The following is an 18,395-nucleotide window of genomic DNA, read 5'->3' on the forward strand; positions in this document are numbered from 1 at the left end:
ATATTAATCTCTAGTAGGGTGGACTTTGGAATGAAGAAAATTATTGGGGATAAATAGGAGCATTATATAATGATAAAAGTGTTAATTCTCCAAAAAGACCCAATAATCTTTAATGTTTATGCACGTAAAAATAGAGCATCAAAATAAATGTGGCAAAATAATATAACTGCAAAGAGAAAGAGAAAAATGAACTCCTCTAGTTGAAGAATTGAACACTAATCTATCACTAATTGATTGATCCAGCAGGCAGAAAATCAGTGAGGACACAGTTGAACTAAACAGCATCATTAATAAACTAGATTTAACTAACATTTATGTAGAATGCTGCATCCAATCACAAGAAAATGCATGTTCTTTTCAAGCTCACATGATACATTCACCAAGAGAGATGACATTCTGGGCCATAAAAACATTCTTTTAAGTTTCAACAAACTTAAAGGAATAGAAACTATACAAAGTATTCTGTCAGACCACAATGAAAATAAAGTAGAAATCAATAATAGAAAGATAGCTAGAAACTCCAAAAATATTAGAGATTAAACACACTTTCAGATAACACGTGGATAAAATTAGAAGTATCAAAATAAATGAAAAATATGTTGAACTATATGAAAATAAAGCATTTCATACAATTTATCAGTATTTGTGGAATTCAGCAAGATCAGTACTTACAGGGAGATTTATAGCGTTGAACGTATATAGAAAAGATAAAAAGATCTAAAATCAACTACTTAAGCTCTCACCATAGAAAACTGAAGAAAGAATAGCAATGTAGGCCTAAAACAAACAGAAAAAAAGAAATAATAATAATTAGATCAGAAATAAGTAAAATATACATAAAAAAGGGAAAATCAACAAAATAAGAAGCTGGTTCATTAACCAGGCTAACCAAGAAGAAAGACATAAATTAATAATATTAGAAATGATAGAGGAACATCACTACTTCTCTTATGGACATTAAAAAGAGTAATAAAAGAATATTTTGAACAATTCTATGCTTACAAATTTGGTAACCAAGATGAAGTGGGCCAAATCCTTGAAAGATACATAATACCAAATAGATAACCTCCATGAGTCTGTATCTATTAAAGAAACTGAATCAATAATTAATAATCTTTGTAAAAAGAAAGCACAGAAACTGAATCAATAATTAATAATCTTTGTAAAAAGAAAGCACAGGCTTAGATGGCTTCATAGTTGAATTTTATTAAACATTTAGTGAAGAAATGTTGTCAATTCTCTACAATTTCTTTCAGAAATTAGAAGTAGAGAAAACACTTCTTTACTCACTTTATAAGGCCAATATTTCACTAATACCAAAACAGATAAAGACATTCATTATAAGAAAGGAAAACTACAGACCAATATCTCTTATGAACATAGATGTTACGAAAACCTCCTCAACAAATATTATCAAATCAGATTCAATAACATATAAAAAGGATTATATGCCACAACCAAGTGAAATTTATTCAGGTATGCAAGATTGATTCAACATTCAAAAATACATTAATATAATCAATCACAAAAATACATTAATATAATCAATCACATCAACAGGATAAAGGAGAAAAACCAAATGATCATATGACAAAGACAAATTATACAATCAGAAGTCAATAGATTCAGAAAAAGCATTTGCAAAAATGCAACATTCATTCATGATAAAAACTCTCAGCAAATTGGGAATAGGGTAGAACTACTTCAACTTGATTTAAAAAAAAAAAAAAAAAACCTTCCAAAAGTCCACAGCTACATCACATTAAATGATGAGAAAATAGATGCATTTCTTCTATGACGGGGCACAAAGCAAGGATAGCCCCTCTTACCACTTTTATTCAATCTTGTAACAGAAGATCCAGCTGAGGAAATAAGACAAGAAAAGGAATAAAACGTATAAAGATTGAGAAAGAAGACATATACGGTCTGTTGTTTCCAGAGGTCATAATTGTAAAAAATAAAAAAGAATTACCACCACCAACAAAAACTCCTCCAACTAATGAGTGATCATACCAGGTTGCAGAATGCATGATTAATATATAAAAATCCATTACTTTCAGGTATACTAGCAATAAAATTTGGGGAATTAAAAATATATCACTTACACTGGCACCAAAAAATAATATACCTAGGTCTAAATCTGATAAAACATGTACATAATTTATAAGACAAAAATTTGAAAACTCTGATGAAAGAAATTTAAAAGATCTAAAGAAATGGAGAGATTTCATGTTCATGGATTAAATATGAATTCTCCAATGTGTTCATATTGTACATACTATTAAGATATCAATTCTTCCAAATTTTATCTATAGATTCAACACAATCTAAGTAAGTTACTTTGTGGATACAGACAAACTAATTCTAAATTTAATGTGGAAACGTAGAAGACCTAGAATATGCAATACACTGTAGAAGGAGAATAAAATAGGAAGAATACCTCATTTCAATACTTATTATCATGCTATAGTAACCAAGAAAGCATGATATTGATGAAAGAATGGTCAAATAGATTAATAGAACAGAATAGAGTGCTCTAAAATAGACCAACACAAACATAGTGAACTGATCTTTAACAAAGAAACAAAGCAATTTAATGGAGAAAGGATGATCTTTTTTAAAAAAAAAATGGTGCTGGAACAATAAAAGGGGAATGAATCACAGACCTAAATGTAAAATAAAAAAACTATAAATTTTGAACAATAACAAAGGAGAAATAATAGGGATCTACATTTTGGTGATGGGTTATTAGATATAACATCAAAAACATGATCCATAAAAGAAAATAATGACAAGTTGGACTTTATTAAAAGTAAAATATTCTCTGTAAAAGACACTGTTATGAGAGTTAAAAGGCAAGTCACAGATTGGGAGAAAATATTTGCAAATCACATATTTGAGAAAGAGCTGTTACCAAAATTGTACAAAGAACTCTTAAAATTCAACAAGAACATTTCATCATATAAAGATATAAAGATCATATAAAAATACACGTAGACTGAAAATAAAGGGATGGAAAAAGATATATCATGCCAATGGAAAGCAAAAAAAGAGCAGGAGTAGTTATACTTAGACAAAATAAATTTCAAGATGAAAACTACAAAGAGACAAAAAAAGAGGTCATTACATAATGATAAAGAGGTCAATCGAGCAAGAGGATAGAACAACTGTAAATATATATGTACCCGACACTGAAACCCTCAGATATATAAAGCAAATATTATTAGAGCTAAATACAGAAACAGATCCCAATACAGTAATAGCTGATGACTTGACTACCCCACTTGCAGCATTGAACAGATAATGCAGACAATCAACAAAGAAACAATAGACTTACTCTGCATTATAGACCAAATGTACTTAACAGATATTTACAGAGTATTTAATCCAACAACTGCAGAATATACATTCTTCTCCTCCACACATGGATCATTCACCATGTGACAGACCATATGTTAGGCCACAAAATAAGTCTTTAAAAAATTTTTTTAAAAATTAAAATCATACCAAGTATATTCTCTGACCACAGTGGGATAAAACTAAAAATTAATAACAAAAGGAACTTTGAAAGCTATACAAACACATGGAAATCAAAAAACATGCCCCTGAATGTCCAGTGGGCCAATGAAGAAATTAAGAAGAAAATTTAAATATGCCTTCATACAAATGAAAATGATAACACAGCATACTAAAACCTATGGGATACAGCAAAAGCAGTAATAAAAGGAAAGTTTATAGCAATAAGCACCTACATCGCAAAAGTAGAAAAACATAAATGAATAACCTAATTATGCATCTTAAAGAATGAAAAAAGCAAGAGCAAACCAAACCTAAAATTAATAATAAAGATCAGAGAATAAATAATAAAGATCAGAGCAGAAATAAATGAAATTGAAATTTAGAAAGATACCAAAGATAAATAAAATGAAAAGTTGTTTTTGAAAAGATGAATAAAATCAACCAACCTTTAGCAAGATGAAGAAAAAAGAAAGATTCAAATAAATAAAATCAGAGACAAAAAAGGAAATATTACAACTAATACCACAGAAATTAAAAGAATCATTTGAGACTACTATGAGCAACTATATGCCAATAAATTGGAAAACCTAGAAGAAATAGATAAGTTCCTAAACCTACCAACATTGAACCATAACAAAATCTAAAACCTGAATAGATCTATAACAAGTAATGAGATTGAAGCCATAACAAAGTTTCCCAGCAAAGAATACTTCAGGACCCAGTGGCTTCACTGCTGAATTTACCAAATGTTTAAAGAAGAAATAATACTGATCCTACTCAAACTATTCCAAAAAAAAAGAGGAGGAAGAAATACTTCCAAACTCATTCAAACAGGCCAGTATTATTCTGAAGCCAAAACCAGACAAAGACACATCAAAAAAGAAAACTACAGGCCAATATTCCTAATGAACATTTATGCAAAAATCCTCAACAAAATAACTAGCAAACCAAATTTAACAACACATTAAAATGATCGTTCATTATGTCCAAGTGGGTTTTATCTCAGGGATGCAAGGATGGTTTAGCACATGCAAATTAGTCAATGTGATACATCATGCCAACAGAATGAAGGACAAAAACCATATGATCATTTCAATTGATGCTGAAAAAGCATTTGATAAAATCCAACACCCTTCAGGATAAAAAGCCCTAAAAAAACTGTGTATATGAGAAAAATACCTCAACATAATAGAGGCCATATATGACAAGCCCACAGCTAGTATCATACTGAATGAAGAAAAAAATAAAAGCCTTTCCTCTAAGACTGGAAGCAAGACAAGAATGCTCACTTTCACCACTATTATTCAATATCGTACTGGAAATCCTAGCTAGAGCAATCAGACAAGAGAAACAAATAAAGGCATCCAAATTAGAAAAGAAGAAATAAAATTATTATTGTTTGCAGATGATATAATCTTATATTTGGTAAAACCTAAAGACTCCAACAAGAAACTATTAGAACTGATAAATAAATTCAGTAAAATTGCAGGATACAAAATCAAGATGCAAAAATCAGTGGCATTTCTATATGTCAAAGCAAACAATCTAAAAAAGAAATCAAGAAAGTAATCCTATTTACAATAGCTAAAAATAAAACTAAATATTTAGGAATAAACTCAACCAAAGAAGTGAAAGATCTCTACAATAAAAACTATAAAACACTGATGTAAGAAATTGAAGATGACACAAAAAATGGAAAGAAATTTCATATTCATGGATTGGAAGAATCAGTATTGTTTAAATGTCTATATACTACCCAAAGCAGTCTACAGATTCAATGTAATCCCTATCAAAATACCAATGACATTCTTCACAGAAATAGAAAAAAAAAATCCTAAAATTTACATGGGAACACAAAAGACCCAGAATAGCCAAAGTTATCCCAAGCAAAAAGAACAAAAAGAACAAAACTGGAAGAGTCATATTGCCTGACTTCAAATTATACTACAGAGCTATAAACAGCATTGTACCAGCATAAAAACAGAAACACAGACCAGTGAAACAGAATAGACAGCCCAAAAATAAAACCATACTTTGATAGTGAACTCATTTTTTCTAAAGGTGCCAAGAACATACACTGAAGAAAGGACAGTCTCTTCAATAAATGGTGCTAGAAAACTGGATGTCCATATGCAGAAGTATGAAGCTAGACCCATCTTTCATCCTGTACAAAAATCAAATCAAAATAGATTAAAGACTTAAATATGAGACTTCAAACTATGAAACTACTAAAACTAAAAGAAAACACTGGGAAACTCTCCAGGATTTTGGACTGGGCAAAGATTTCTTCAGTAATACACCACAAGTGTGGACAACCAAAGCAAAAATGGACAAGTAGGATCACATCAACTTAAAATGCTTCCACAAAGCAAAGGAAACAATCAACAACATAAACAGACAACCCATAGAATGTGAGAATACATTTGTAAAACATCCATCTGACAAAGGATTAATAACCAGAATAAATAAAGAGCTCAAACTGCTCAACAGGAAAAAAAAACCAATAATCTCATTAAAAATGCACAAAAGATCTGAAAAGACATTTCTCAAAGGAAGACATATAAATGGCAAACAGGTATATGAAAAGTTGCTCAACATTATTAATCATTAGAGAAATGCAAATCAAAACCACAATGAGATATCATCTCACCCCAGTTAATATGGCTTTTATCCAAAAGACAGGCAATAACAAATGCTGGTGAGGATGTGGAGAAAATAAAATCCTCATACACTGTTGGTGGGAATGTAAATTAGTACAACCACTATGGATAACAGTATGGAGGTTCCACAAAAAATTAAAAATAGAAGTACTGTATGTCCCAGCAATCCTACTGCTAGGATTCTCAAAAGAACGAAGTCAGTATATCAAAGAGATAATCTGAAATCCATACTCTCAGGTTATTGTAGTGCTACTCACAAAAAACAAGATTTGGAAGCAACTTAAGTGTTTATCAACAGATGAATAGATAAAGAAAATGTGGTACATATACACAATGGAGTACTATTCCGTTACATAAAAAATGAGATCCTGTCATTTGCAGCAACATGGAAGCAACTGGAGGATATTATGTTAAGTGAAATAAGCCAGGCACAGAAAGACAAACTTTGCATGTTCTCAATTACTTGTGGGAGCTAAAAATTGAAACAATTGAATTCATGGAAGGAATACAATGATGGTTACCAGAGGCTAGAAGGGTAGTGGGTGGTTGGATGGGAAATGGGGATGGTTAATGAATACAAAAGTATATGAGATCAAATAAATAAGATCTAGTATGTGGTAGCACAACAGGGTGACTACAGTCCACAACAATTTATTTTACATTTAAAAATAACGAAAAGAGTACAACTGGATTGTTTGTAACATAAAGGAATGATAAATGCTTGAGGTGATGGATACCTCATTTACACTGAGGTGATTATTACACATTGTATGCCTGTGTCAAAATATCTCATGTACCCCATAAATGCATTCACCCACTATGTATCCATAAGAATTAACAATTGAAAAAGAACACAGCAAGAAAAGAAATGAGGTGATTAAAAAATGGGTAACACATCTGAATAGACACCTCACCAAATATATGCTCATGTCAAATAAACATATGAAAAGATGTTCCACACTATATGTCATTAGGGAATTGTAAATTAAAACAAGTTACTACTGCTCACCTATTAGAATGGCTAAAATCCAAAACACTGAGCACACCAAGTACTAGTAAAAATATGGAGCTACATTAACTAGTAATACTAGTAAGGATGTGGAACTACATGAACTTTTCTTCATTGTTGATAGGATCGCAAAATCCCATAGGCACTTTGGAAGATGGTTTGGCAGCTTCTTACAAAGCTAAATGTGCTTATCATATGAGGCTGCAGTCATATTCTTGGTATATACCAAAATTAATAGAAAACATATGTACATGAATGTTTATGACAGCTTTACTCATAATTGCCAAAACTTCGTAGAAACCAAGTTGATTTTAATATGTGAATGAATATAAACAAATTATGGTACATCATATGATGTAATATTATCCAACAATAAAAAGCTTTGAGGTATAAAGCTCAAAAAAAATAGAAAAACCTTAAATATTTATTGCTAAATAAGAGAAGGAACTGTTGAAAGTCTATACACTGTATGATTACTACCATATAAATATCTGGAAAAATTAAAACTGCAGAGATAATAACAAGATCAATAGCTCTTACAAGTCCAGGGTGATAACTGCAATTATTGATAAATTAGATTATACATTAGTCAAAACCCAGAGAATTGTACAACACAAAGAGGAGACTTAATGTGAAATATGAACTTTAATTCACAATAATATACCAGTATTGGTTCACTAATTATAACAAATGACCCACACTAATGTAAGATATTAATAATAGGAGAAAAGTGTATGTACAGTGTGTATCTGTGTGTGTGTGTTTAGGTAAATTATTTGTTGTATTATCTTCTCAATTTTTCTGTAAAGCTGAAATTCTTATATAAATTAAGTGTATTAAAAATTAGAAATTTTATTCTGTAAATTGAAATAATTACATAAGAAGCAACAGAAAAATTAAGATTTTGATTTGACAGATAGTAAGAAAGGTAATAGATATTCCTGGAAGAAATGCTACATATTTTTCAATGTGGAGCAAATAATATGACATTCATTATAAAAATAGCAAATGTTACATAACATAAATAAAATGTAAATTAAAGATGCTATATAGTTACTTTACAGAAAGGTTTATTTCAGATCTTATTAAGCACAGAAATAAATGATAGTTTTTATATTACTGTGCATTGTTAAATTTCACTACTGAGTTAAAATATAAATGTAGCAAGAATGAACATCGATTCATATAAAGCATATATTGTCTCAAAGTATACGACATTTGCATTTACTCAGTGTTAGCTAACAGTACAATTCAATGTGGTTATGAAAGAGCATAATGTGGTTAGCAGATTTTTCTACCTACTCCAAGAGCCAGACTAAAGCTTCCCCATGGAATTAGATTTGGGTATTAGGCAACAGGAAATGTGCCTGCTGATAACTGAATTACTCTGAACTCTAAAGAAGTCACTGGGACATTTTGTCCATTAAGTTTACAGATGGCAAAGTAGATATGTCATTCACAGCTGCATGCATGAGGATATGACATATTTGTCTATATTAATCTCATGGATCACTTGACATGACTCATTCAACCTCTCTTTCTACTACATGAATTAGCAAGATTTCTGGTGGTTCTAAAGTAGATCCAAACACTTCGGAGGGAAATATAAATACTTGTTTCATTATACCAAGTAAGTGGGCCAACAGGGCGCATTTGGTGCTTTAATTGTCCTTCATAATCACAGTAAGGTAGTAAAAATTAAATCTAAAATAATATAAATAGGCCAAAATGGTATATATGATGCATATATGCATGACAAGAGTTTTTATCTTCAGTGGCAGCACAGGCAAGATATTAAACTTATCATGGGAATTGAATTAAATTTCAAAAAAATGCATTGGCTAGAATTACTCAGAATTCCCAGGGGCAGGGAGGGGACACTCTATGAGGTTAACCATTTACTATGTTTAAACTCAATAATTGTGAGCTGAGTATAAATCAAGAAATCTGCTCAAACATCTGTGTCTTACTTAAAAGTTTCAAATGTCACAAATATGTGTGCTATGATGAATATTCACGGTTATGAAGCTGTGGTGAATATATTCCGTGAGGCCATATGACAGGCTGTCCACCAGCCCTAGCCAAAATAAGACATCTAACCAGAATTAATAAGATAATTATCAATGGTCAAGAACACAAATAGATGATGCCTGAAATATATGAAACTGCATAAGCACACAACTCAAGCATTAAGCGAAAGGAGAAACACTGTCATATTACAATCAAGAACCTGGAACAGTCAACTGAGAACCTGGAGGATGCTAGAAGAACTTATTATACCTGGAGCAAAATTTGAAAATTCCTTAGTCTGAAAGTTGGGAGTTGAGTTCTCACATTTGAAAAGCCATGCAAAAAAGTGATTAATCTTAAATTTTGTGTATACTTAAACAGAAAGACCAAGGTCTGAAGTCCAATGTCATACAAAAAGTCACCTTCTTTTTCTATGCAGATTAGGTTGCAATTTAAAGAAGTTTAAGCCCTGTGACAGAAACCACTTGATCTCTAACAATATGTTTAGATAATGAGCACTTCAGTATAGCCCTTCAAGCTTTTTGTAAAAAAAAAAAAAAAAAGAAAAAAATTACATTCATCTCCCTACATAATCTGTTTCTGATGTCTATTGCCACATACTCAAATAGCAAAAATCTTAGTTGACTTTCATCTTTAAAATTTGACATATTGGAGGAGCAATCCAGGACAGTATTTGATTTTAAATAGGGAAAGAACTCACACTCTAATACACAGAGAGAAATAAGTGGTGAAATAACACTTACAGGCTTGTAAATGGCAAATGTGTCTGCAGTGGGCAGAGCATGCTGCTTTCCTCTCCTGGGAATGAAATAAAAATGTGCCAACAGAAATAGCATTGAAAATGCCTGGTGGTAGAGGCAGTGGTATTAACAAAAGCATTCTCCTCCTCATTAAGCAAGTACCAATTAGATATATGGAATCCAAGAGCTGAAAGGGGTATAAGGAATTAACTCACTAGTCATCCTCAACTTCCACGCAAATAATGACTGTGAGAGCTAGTTTCCACAAATGTTCCCGCTTCAACAAACCATGCCTCCTGGAATTCACATCCTTGTGTAGCCCCTTCCATGAATTGGATGCTGAGCTTCCAGCCCTAGCTGTTCCAGTGGATGGTCCATGGATCAGATATACCACCCAGCTGAGGTCTTCCTGAATACTCAATCCAACAAAATCATGAGCAATATAAGAGAATTGTTTTAAGCTGATAAATTTTGGAGTAGTTTGTTTTTCAGCAGTAAATAACCAGAACAATGATCTTTCTATGTTCAAATATGCCTTATGGGCACTCATAATCATTATAATATTCATTCACTGAAAAAGTGCATAGTGGTAAGATGCTATTATTCATCAGTGCTTTTAAGAATTCTAGGCCGGGTGTGGTGGCTCACGCCTGTAGTCCCAGCACTGGGAGGCTGAGGTGGGCGGATCACAAGGTCAGGAGTTTGAGACCAGCCTGGCCAATATGGTGAAAGCCCATCTCTACTAAAAATACAAAAATTAGCCGGGGCTGGTGGTGGGTGCCTGTAGTCCCAGCTACTGAGGAGGCTGAGGCAGGAGAATTGCTTGAACCTGGGAGGCGGAGGTAGCAGTGAGCCGATATCATGCCACCGCACTCCAGACTGGGTGACAGAGGGAGACTCTGTCTTTAAAAAAAAAAGAATTCTAATAATAGTAATCATGAAAATTGTAATGTCTAATCTTTTTCAATGTTGTTTGTGTCCAAAGTGCTCTTCCAAAAGCTTTCCTTAATTATACTATTTAATAGTCATAACACTGTGATGAAGAAGGTATTGTTAATTACATCTTCATTTTACAGATGAGGAAACTGAAACACAGAATGATTAACTTTTTTCACTGTCATCTAGCTAATAAGGAATTGTTACATATTTTATTCATTACAATAGTAAGTAGGTGCGTTTGATACATTGTAGTTCATAGGCATTTAAATATTCTATTTCTTTACAATGCTCAGTACAATGTGCAATGCTCAGTATTTTGGTAAATTCACAGTCACTTTATGATAGCTCCAGGATCTCCAAGGAATTTATGGACTACAGTTTGAAATCCATTGGTCTAGTCCAATTTCTATTACTCTTTTTAGAAGAACTGAGATGCACAGAAGTTATAAGAATTTCCTAAGTTCACATAGTTAGCAACCTATTCAGAACTAGAATTCCTTGTTAGTAATGTCCACTGCAGCATCTTTATACTAATCTTAGGGGATCATCAATTACTGTTTGGATCTTTGATTCTTTACATCTTTCTATCAGAAGTGTACTCTGACATTAGCTCTTATTTAAGCTAAAATTATCAAAATCCTCTCTTGTTGTGACATACTAGTTTTTAGAAACATTTGTATAATTGTAAATTATTATGTCTTCTTATTATTTCAGTTACTGTTTAAGCCTAAAGAAATAAAGTAATACCTTTTAAAAAAATATCTAATATGTACCATTATTCAGATCAGCTTTACTGCACATTAGTCTTTTACTGTCCTGTGCAAAACTAAATAAAATATATAAATTATCCCTATCTTGGTTTCACAACTGGTTAATACTGTCTGTTGTATTTGCTGCATCAGCCTTGCTCTGTGGGCTGGAGCAATTATCAGTGACCAAGTAATCCAACTCTTCTTTATTCTCTCATTGCCTTAACCCTTTTCTACACTCCAAGGGCAATCAATACAAATATCTTGCCAAAGTCCATTTCTTGTGCATGATACTGCTTAACATCACTCAATCATTTGAGTGGAAAGCTTTACAGGAGTTCATCTTAGGTGAACTTGAATATGCCCATTTTTCTTTGAGAGTGGAATGAAGAGTTCCAAACAAGTCATAAAACTGTAAAAGCAATTTCAAGAGTCCATCCTGATTGTTCCCACTGTGAAATAGAAAGAAGCATCGGGGTTTCAAAAACATTCATGTACTCAAGGATATATCAGTAACTATTTATTGAACATTCCTGCAGAAAACATCCTGTAAAGTTGGATGAACCCTGCAGTGGTTGGATGAGTTATTTACAGAGGTCTCAAGGCAGGGTGTCCTTATTCATGCTGAATATGAGTTACCTAACAATAAATCCAATAGCACTAAAAAGGAATTTATGACAGAACACTTCCATGAATTTATTGTTAGCATTAGAGGCATTGGTTCCATATCATCATGAATTTGCAGATCTAGAAAGGACCTTGAAAATGTACTTAAGCCTCCTCGTTTTATCTACAAGTGAATATAAACCCAGACCAAAGAAAGGCAGTTTCTGTGACTTTTAATGATTTATCCTAACCATGGGCTTATGTGTTTATATCCAGTAGGCAATAGCAAATGGTGAGGGTAATTAGTCAGTTACAGGAAATAATCAAAACAAACAAAGACAATTCTTGGATATTAGGAGTTATAGAAGGAACTTGAAAGTAAAAATAAAGTTTGAATTGTAGGTAGTTCCCTAAGCAAAGGTTATAATATCAGAGATAGTGTGTTCTAATCTACTAGCTCCCTCTGTCCTTTGGCAAAGAACAATGATTTCAAGGAATTCTACTCACAATTATCCTGACAATTGTAATGACTAACCTTCACTCAACGTTGTTTCTGGATCAAAGTTTCTTCTTCTGTAAAATAACAAAACACTCTACTTTGTCTAGTCACCAGACTGCTATGTAGACAACATAAAATGACTTTCATGAAACACAAAGAACATTATTTGTTAAAACTAATTTCTCATCACAAACTATGTTAATTGCGAGAATGAGAAATAACTCCAAGGGGATTTTACTTGTAATTCCAAAGACAGTTACCCTTGTTCAGGCTCTGTTATATTGGCAGAACCTGTTAGTTGTTTTGCATAAACTGTATTTAATTATACATCATCTCTGTAGTTGAGTTATTGTATATTTTCATCATTTGATAGATGAGGAAATTATATTAGGTCGATGCAAACGTAATTGCAGTTTTTGCCATTGAAAGTAACGGCAAAAACCGCATTCTTGTTTGCACCAAACTAACGGATCAAGAAACTAGTAACTTGCTTAACGTTTAATGACTAAAAACTGTCAGACGCAAGCTTGGAACTCAAGTCTGAATTTAAAGTCCAGACTTTTCCCACAATGCCAAGCAGCTTCAGTTGATCTCCAGCCAAATAGTTAGCCTTATTGACTATTGAAAAGGTAGTTTAAACTGGTAGTCCTCCATCTTTGAAGAGAATTCTCCAACTTCAGTTGAAATTAATTATTATCCTGTGCATTCCTAACCATTTTATTAAAAATAAGTATAAAAATAAAATATGATAATTAAAAATATAGATAAATAAATATAATTGAACTATTTCACTTAACAATACAAATTATCAGTTTAGATTTTTCAAATTCTGAATTCTGCATATAAGAGAATCAACTTAAATATAAGGATATAAAAAGTTGGAAAAGAGTGGGAAAAGTTATACCTTGCAAAAACTAAGCAACAAAAAGCTTGTACGGATATATGGAGCACACTGTAAACAAGAAGTATTACTAGAGATAAAGAGGGAGACTCATAATTTTAAACACCATTGAAGAAGATACTAAATTTCTAAATATGTATATATCTAATAGCATTGCTTCAAAATATGATAGTAATTGCCAGAAATAAAGTTGAAAGAGACAAACCCATAATCTCGAAATGAAAAAAAGAAAAGAAAGTCACGAAGTGTTGGAAATTTAAGTAGTTCATTTATAAAAATCTCATGAAAAGAGAAAAAAATCATAAACGTTCAAAATATTTTCAGCTGAATTATAATAAAAATAAGACAGTAAAATTTGCTTTGCTTTTTTTTAACTTTTTCACATGGATACTTAGATCACTGATTATTAGACTTTTTCTTAAAATTTGTTGACTTGCTTTATATATAGTTGGTTTTGATATTCTACATTCTTCAGAAGTTAAAAAAAAAAAAAAGTAGTTAAATCCCCCAAAAATTGAAGGAAAAAATAAGAAAGACAAAAGATGAAGTTCATGTTAGGGAATATAATGGAATTTTGGAGGAATTCAGTAAAGTCTAAAGTCAGTTTTTAAAGACAAATCTAATAAAAGTGATAAACTCTTATCAACACTGATTTAAAAAAGAGCACAAATTTACCAATATCAACATGAAAAAAGAATTATCCCTATAGGTTCTATAGATAGTAAAAATACAATAAAGATTATTATAAATATAGAGAATTATAAAATTTAGAAAATTTATAGCACACACATCTCTCTCCTAAAGAAGTGCAAAAATAATTTTACATTTTGCTAATCAAATAATTACATTCAATATATATATGTGTAATCCATTATACATAATAAATACATATCTATGATGCATACACATAATATATCCATAATACATGATATATTACATATGTGATATATTACATATATATGATATGCACATACATACCTATATAAATGTGTCTGTAGTATGTATGTGTGTGCCTATACAAATATCAAACTTAATATATAATATATATGGGATCTATACATACATACATCATCCCCAGTTTTTTATATATCTATAACTGTTTTATATATCTATACACATATATGTACACTGTTCACATATATATATTTATATATATGAAATCACAATCACTGAGATTTATTGTAGAAATAAAAATTTGGTGGAGCAATGAAAGAATGCATGTATCATTACTATAATTCCCCAACATCAACTAAATAATGGAGGGTAATCATGTGATCATCTGAATACTTACAAAAAATCATTTGACATAATCAATACCCATTTAAGATAAAATTCTTAGGAAAGAAAGAATATAAATAAATGTCCCTAACATAGTTAAGTATATATACAAAAAAAGGTTAAATATCATATTTAACCATGAAATACTGAATGTTCTATCCAGAGAAAGATCAGAGGAGTGAAGATGTCCACTGTCTCCACTTACATTCCACATTGCACTAGAATTTGTAACTAGTTCAATTAGACAAGAAGAAGAAACAAAAATTATAAGTCTTGGATAGGAAGAAATGAAACTGATTCACAAATGACATTCACAGACGATATGATTTTGTGCAAGGAAAACACAAAAGCATCTATAGAGCTATAAACAATTAAAATTAAAATTAAGTAAATTTTGTTGTATATAAAATCAATATACAGAAATAAATTGTATTTTTGAATACCAGGAACAAAAAAATGAAATTTGAAAAAAATGTATAATAGTATCAAATAATTAAATACCTAAGAACAACCTTAACAAAATATTTGAACAACCCTTACCCTAATAATATACTTAAAACATTCCTAAGAGACATTAAAGAAAGCCTAAATAAATAGAATTAGAACGTCTGCTATGTTCCAAATCTCCATAAACTGATCAATTGATGCGATATAATCTGAATGAAAATCTGAATAGAATCTGAACAACAACTTCTCAAATTCCGTCAAAATTTGATGGAATCAACTTCAAATTCAGCTTCAAATCAAAACCTTAATCAGGCTTGATTAGTGAAATTCATCAAGCTTCAAATTCAAATTTTGAATAAATTCTAAAATTTATTTGAAGACATAAAAGGTTTAGAACAGTCAGTAAAATATGAAAGAATAATGTAGAATGTACATTGCCAGGTTTCAAGACATATAAAGTCACAGTAGTAAACAATAACCTGGCATAAGTAATGAAGAACAATAACAAAGAATAGAGTCCAAAAAATTACCCACACAGATGTGAATACATGATTTATGACAGTGGTGACCTCGTTAACAATGCAGATTATAACTTTGTGTATTTTTATCAATAAATAACCCTGGATCAATGGAATATCCATATAAAAATTATCTGTGCCTCACACTAAATCCCAAAATAAATATTAGAAGGCTTGGTGATCTAAATAATAAAGGTGAAAAATAAAGTGCCCAGCTGATACATACAAACATAATAGCTATCATAGAAGAATGATGGATATCATAAAAGAATGTCCCTGGGGTAGACAGAGATTTATTAAATAGGACATCAAAGCACTAACCATGAAAGAAGATGATATAAATTTTTCTACCAAAAAGACACATGCACTCCTATGTACATCACAGCACTATTCACAATAGCAACGACATGGAATCAACCTAGATGCCCATCAATGGTAGACTAGATAAAGAAAATGTGGTACATATATACCATGGAATACTACATAGCAATAATAAAGAATAAGATCATGTTCTTGGCAGCAACATGGATGCAGCTGGACACCATTAACCTAAGCAAATTAACACATAACAGAAAAATAAATACTGCATGATCTCACTTGTAAGTGGGAGCTAAACATTGAGTATACATGGACATAAATATGGGAACAATAGATATTGAGGACTATTAGATGGAGAAGGGTGGGAGGAGAGCAAGGATTGAAAAACTACCTATTAGGTAGTGTGCTCACAACCTGAGTGACAGGATCATTTGTATACCAAACCTCCGCTACTCACAATTTACCCATGTAACAAACCTGCACGTGTACCCCCGAACCTAAAATAAAAGCTGAAAAAAAAGAGAAAATGTTTATAAATTGAATATATTAAAATTAAAATCTATTTATTAAAATAAAAATTTAGAGAATAAATAGGCAACCACAGAGTGGAGAAGATATTTGCAATTTGTTCATATAACAAAACACTCATACTCAAAATACATAAGATCCATAAAAACTAATAAGAAAACAATGGCCAAATAGAAGTAACAGCAGAAGTTCTGGACATCCACTTTATGAATAAAGATATCCAATTGGTCAGTAGACCTATGAAAAGTACTCAATACCATTTATCATCAGGGGCATGTCAATTAAAGCTAAAGAAAATACCACCACAAACCCTAGCCAAAACCATAAATTTTTTAAAGGAAAAGTGTGTTAATGAAAATGGATGTGGCATAATTGGAACTCTTATCCAGTGCAGTGAAGATTGTAAATTGGTTAAGCCACTTTGGAAAACTGTTTGGCTGTATCTGTGAAAGCTGAACACATACATAATTTATCACTTTGTAATTCCATTACTAGGTATACAGCCACAAGAAATTTGTACATTTCTCCTAAAACACATGAACAAAACTGTGCATAGAAGCACTGATCGTAACTGCCTCATGTAGTAAGCAACCCACATGTAAATCAATAGTAGAATAGAAAAATTTTATTTTTGTGATATATTCAAACAATGGAATAATATACACCAGTGAAAATACATAAGCTACTGCTCTATGCAATTATAATAGATGAATTAAAAAACAGTTGGACAGAAGAAGCCAGACACAAATAGTATACACTGTTATAATAATTATATTTATACAAGGTTGAAAAACAGGTAAACGATAGAGTTGGAAGTCAAGATACCAGGTGTCTTTTCATGACAGTAGGGAGGACACAAGGGAACTTGCTTTACTGTTAGTTTTGTCATTCTTGATCAGGGTGAAGGTTATATAGGTAGATTTACCCTGAAAAAAATGCATCAAGCTGTGTACAGTTGATTTGTAGACTCACACACAACACCCCTCATACATTAACAAAAAAATGCTTATTAAAAGTGGAAGAATCAGGGAATGTTCCCATGTGACTTCGTGTTAAAATAGAACTGTTTATTCTGCCTATTCATGGAACTAGTCCATTATGAATTGGAGCTCTAATTAACATACACATTGAAAATTTTGGTTTATTTTAAGAATTGGAAGTTGAAGTCCATACTCTTCTTGGTAAATGTTTCCATTTGCATCAAGGTAGGGCAGACTAGCCAGACTAGCTTAGAACTTCAGATTTACATTTATATTAATATATATTGAAACATACAGTTTTAATACAGCTTGAATTGGTAAAAAAATTTACTAAATATTAAGTGTTTATAGAGTTTGTTTTCCCAACATATATGTTAGGAATAAGTTCAGCTGTATGCAAAATCTAAATCAGATAGGATGATTTTTAACTTCATGTTAAAGAAACCTACCCACAGTGCCTGAAGTAAATAGGTTATTATTTTTCTCACATAACAAGAAGTCCAGACCAAGCTAGACTATCAAGGGCTGTGTCAGAAGCTTCACCTGAAATTATAATTGTCCTATTTTCTTTCTAGCTTTCTACTGTACCATCCTTAGCATTCTTTATCCTCATGCTTGAATCCTCAGTATCCAGTCTCACATTCATGCTCTTGGCAGGAGGAAAGATAAAGAA

General features: G+C 31.5%; 1 long non-coding RNA gene across 1 annotated transcript in view; it reads right to left on the reverse strand.

Annotated features, from left to right (window-relative positions):
* Positions 1–1,444: 1,444 nt before the first annotated feature.
* LOC105374235 (uncharacterized) overlaps positions 1,445–18,395 on the reverse strand; it is a 221,596-nt gene continuing 204,645 nt past the window's right edge. Inside the window, exon 11 of the long non-coding RNA NR_188692.1 lies at positions 1,445–1,862. This is a non-coding gene — a long non-coding RNA (uncharacterized LOC105374235). The remainder of the gene's footprint in view (positions 1,863–18,395) is intronic.

This window comes from Homo sapiens, chromosome 3, assembly GCF_000001405.40.
Source record: "Homo sapiens chromosome 3, GRCh38.p14 Primary Assembly".
Lineage (NCBI taxonomy): Eukaryota > Metazoa > Chordata > Mammalia > Primates > Hominidae > Homo > Homo sapiens.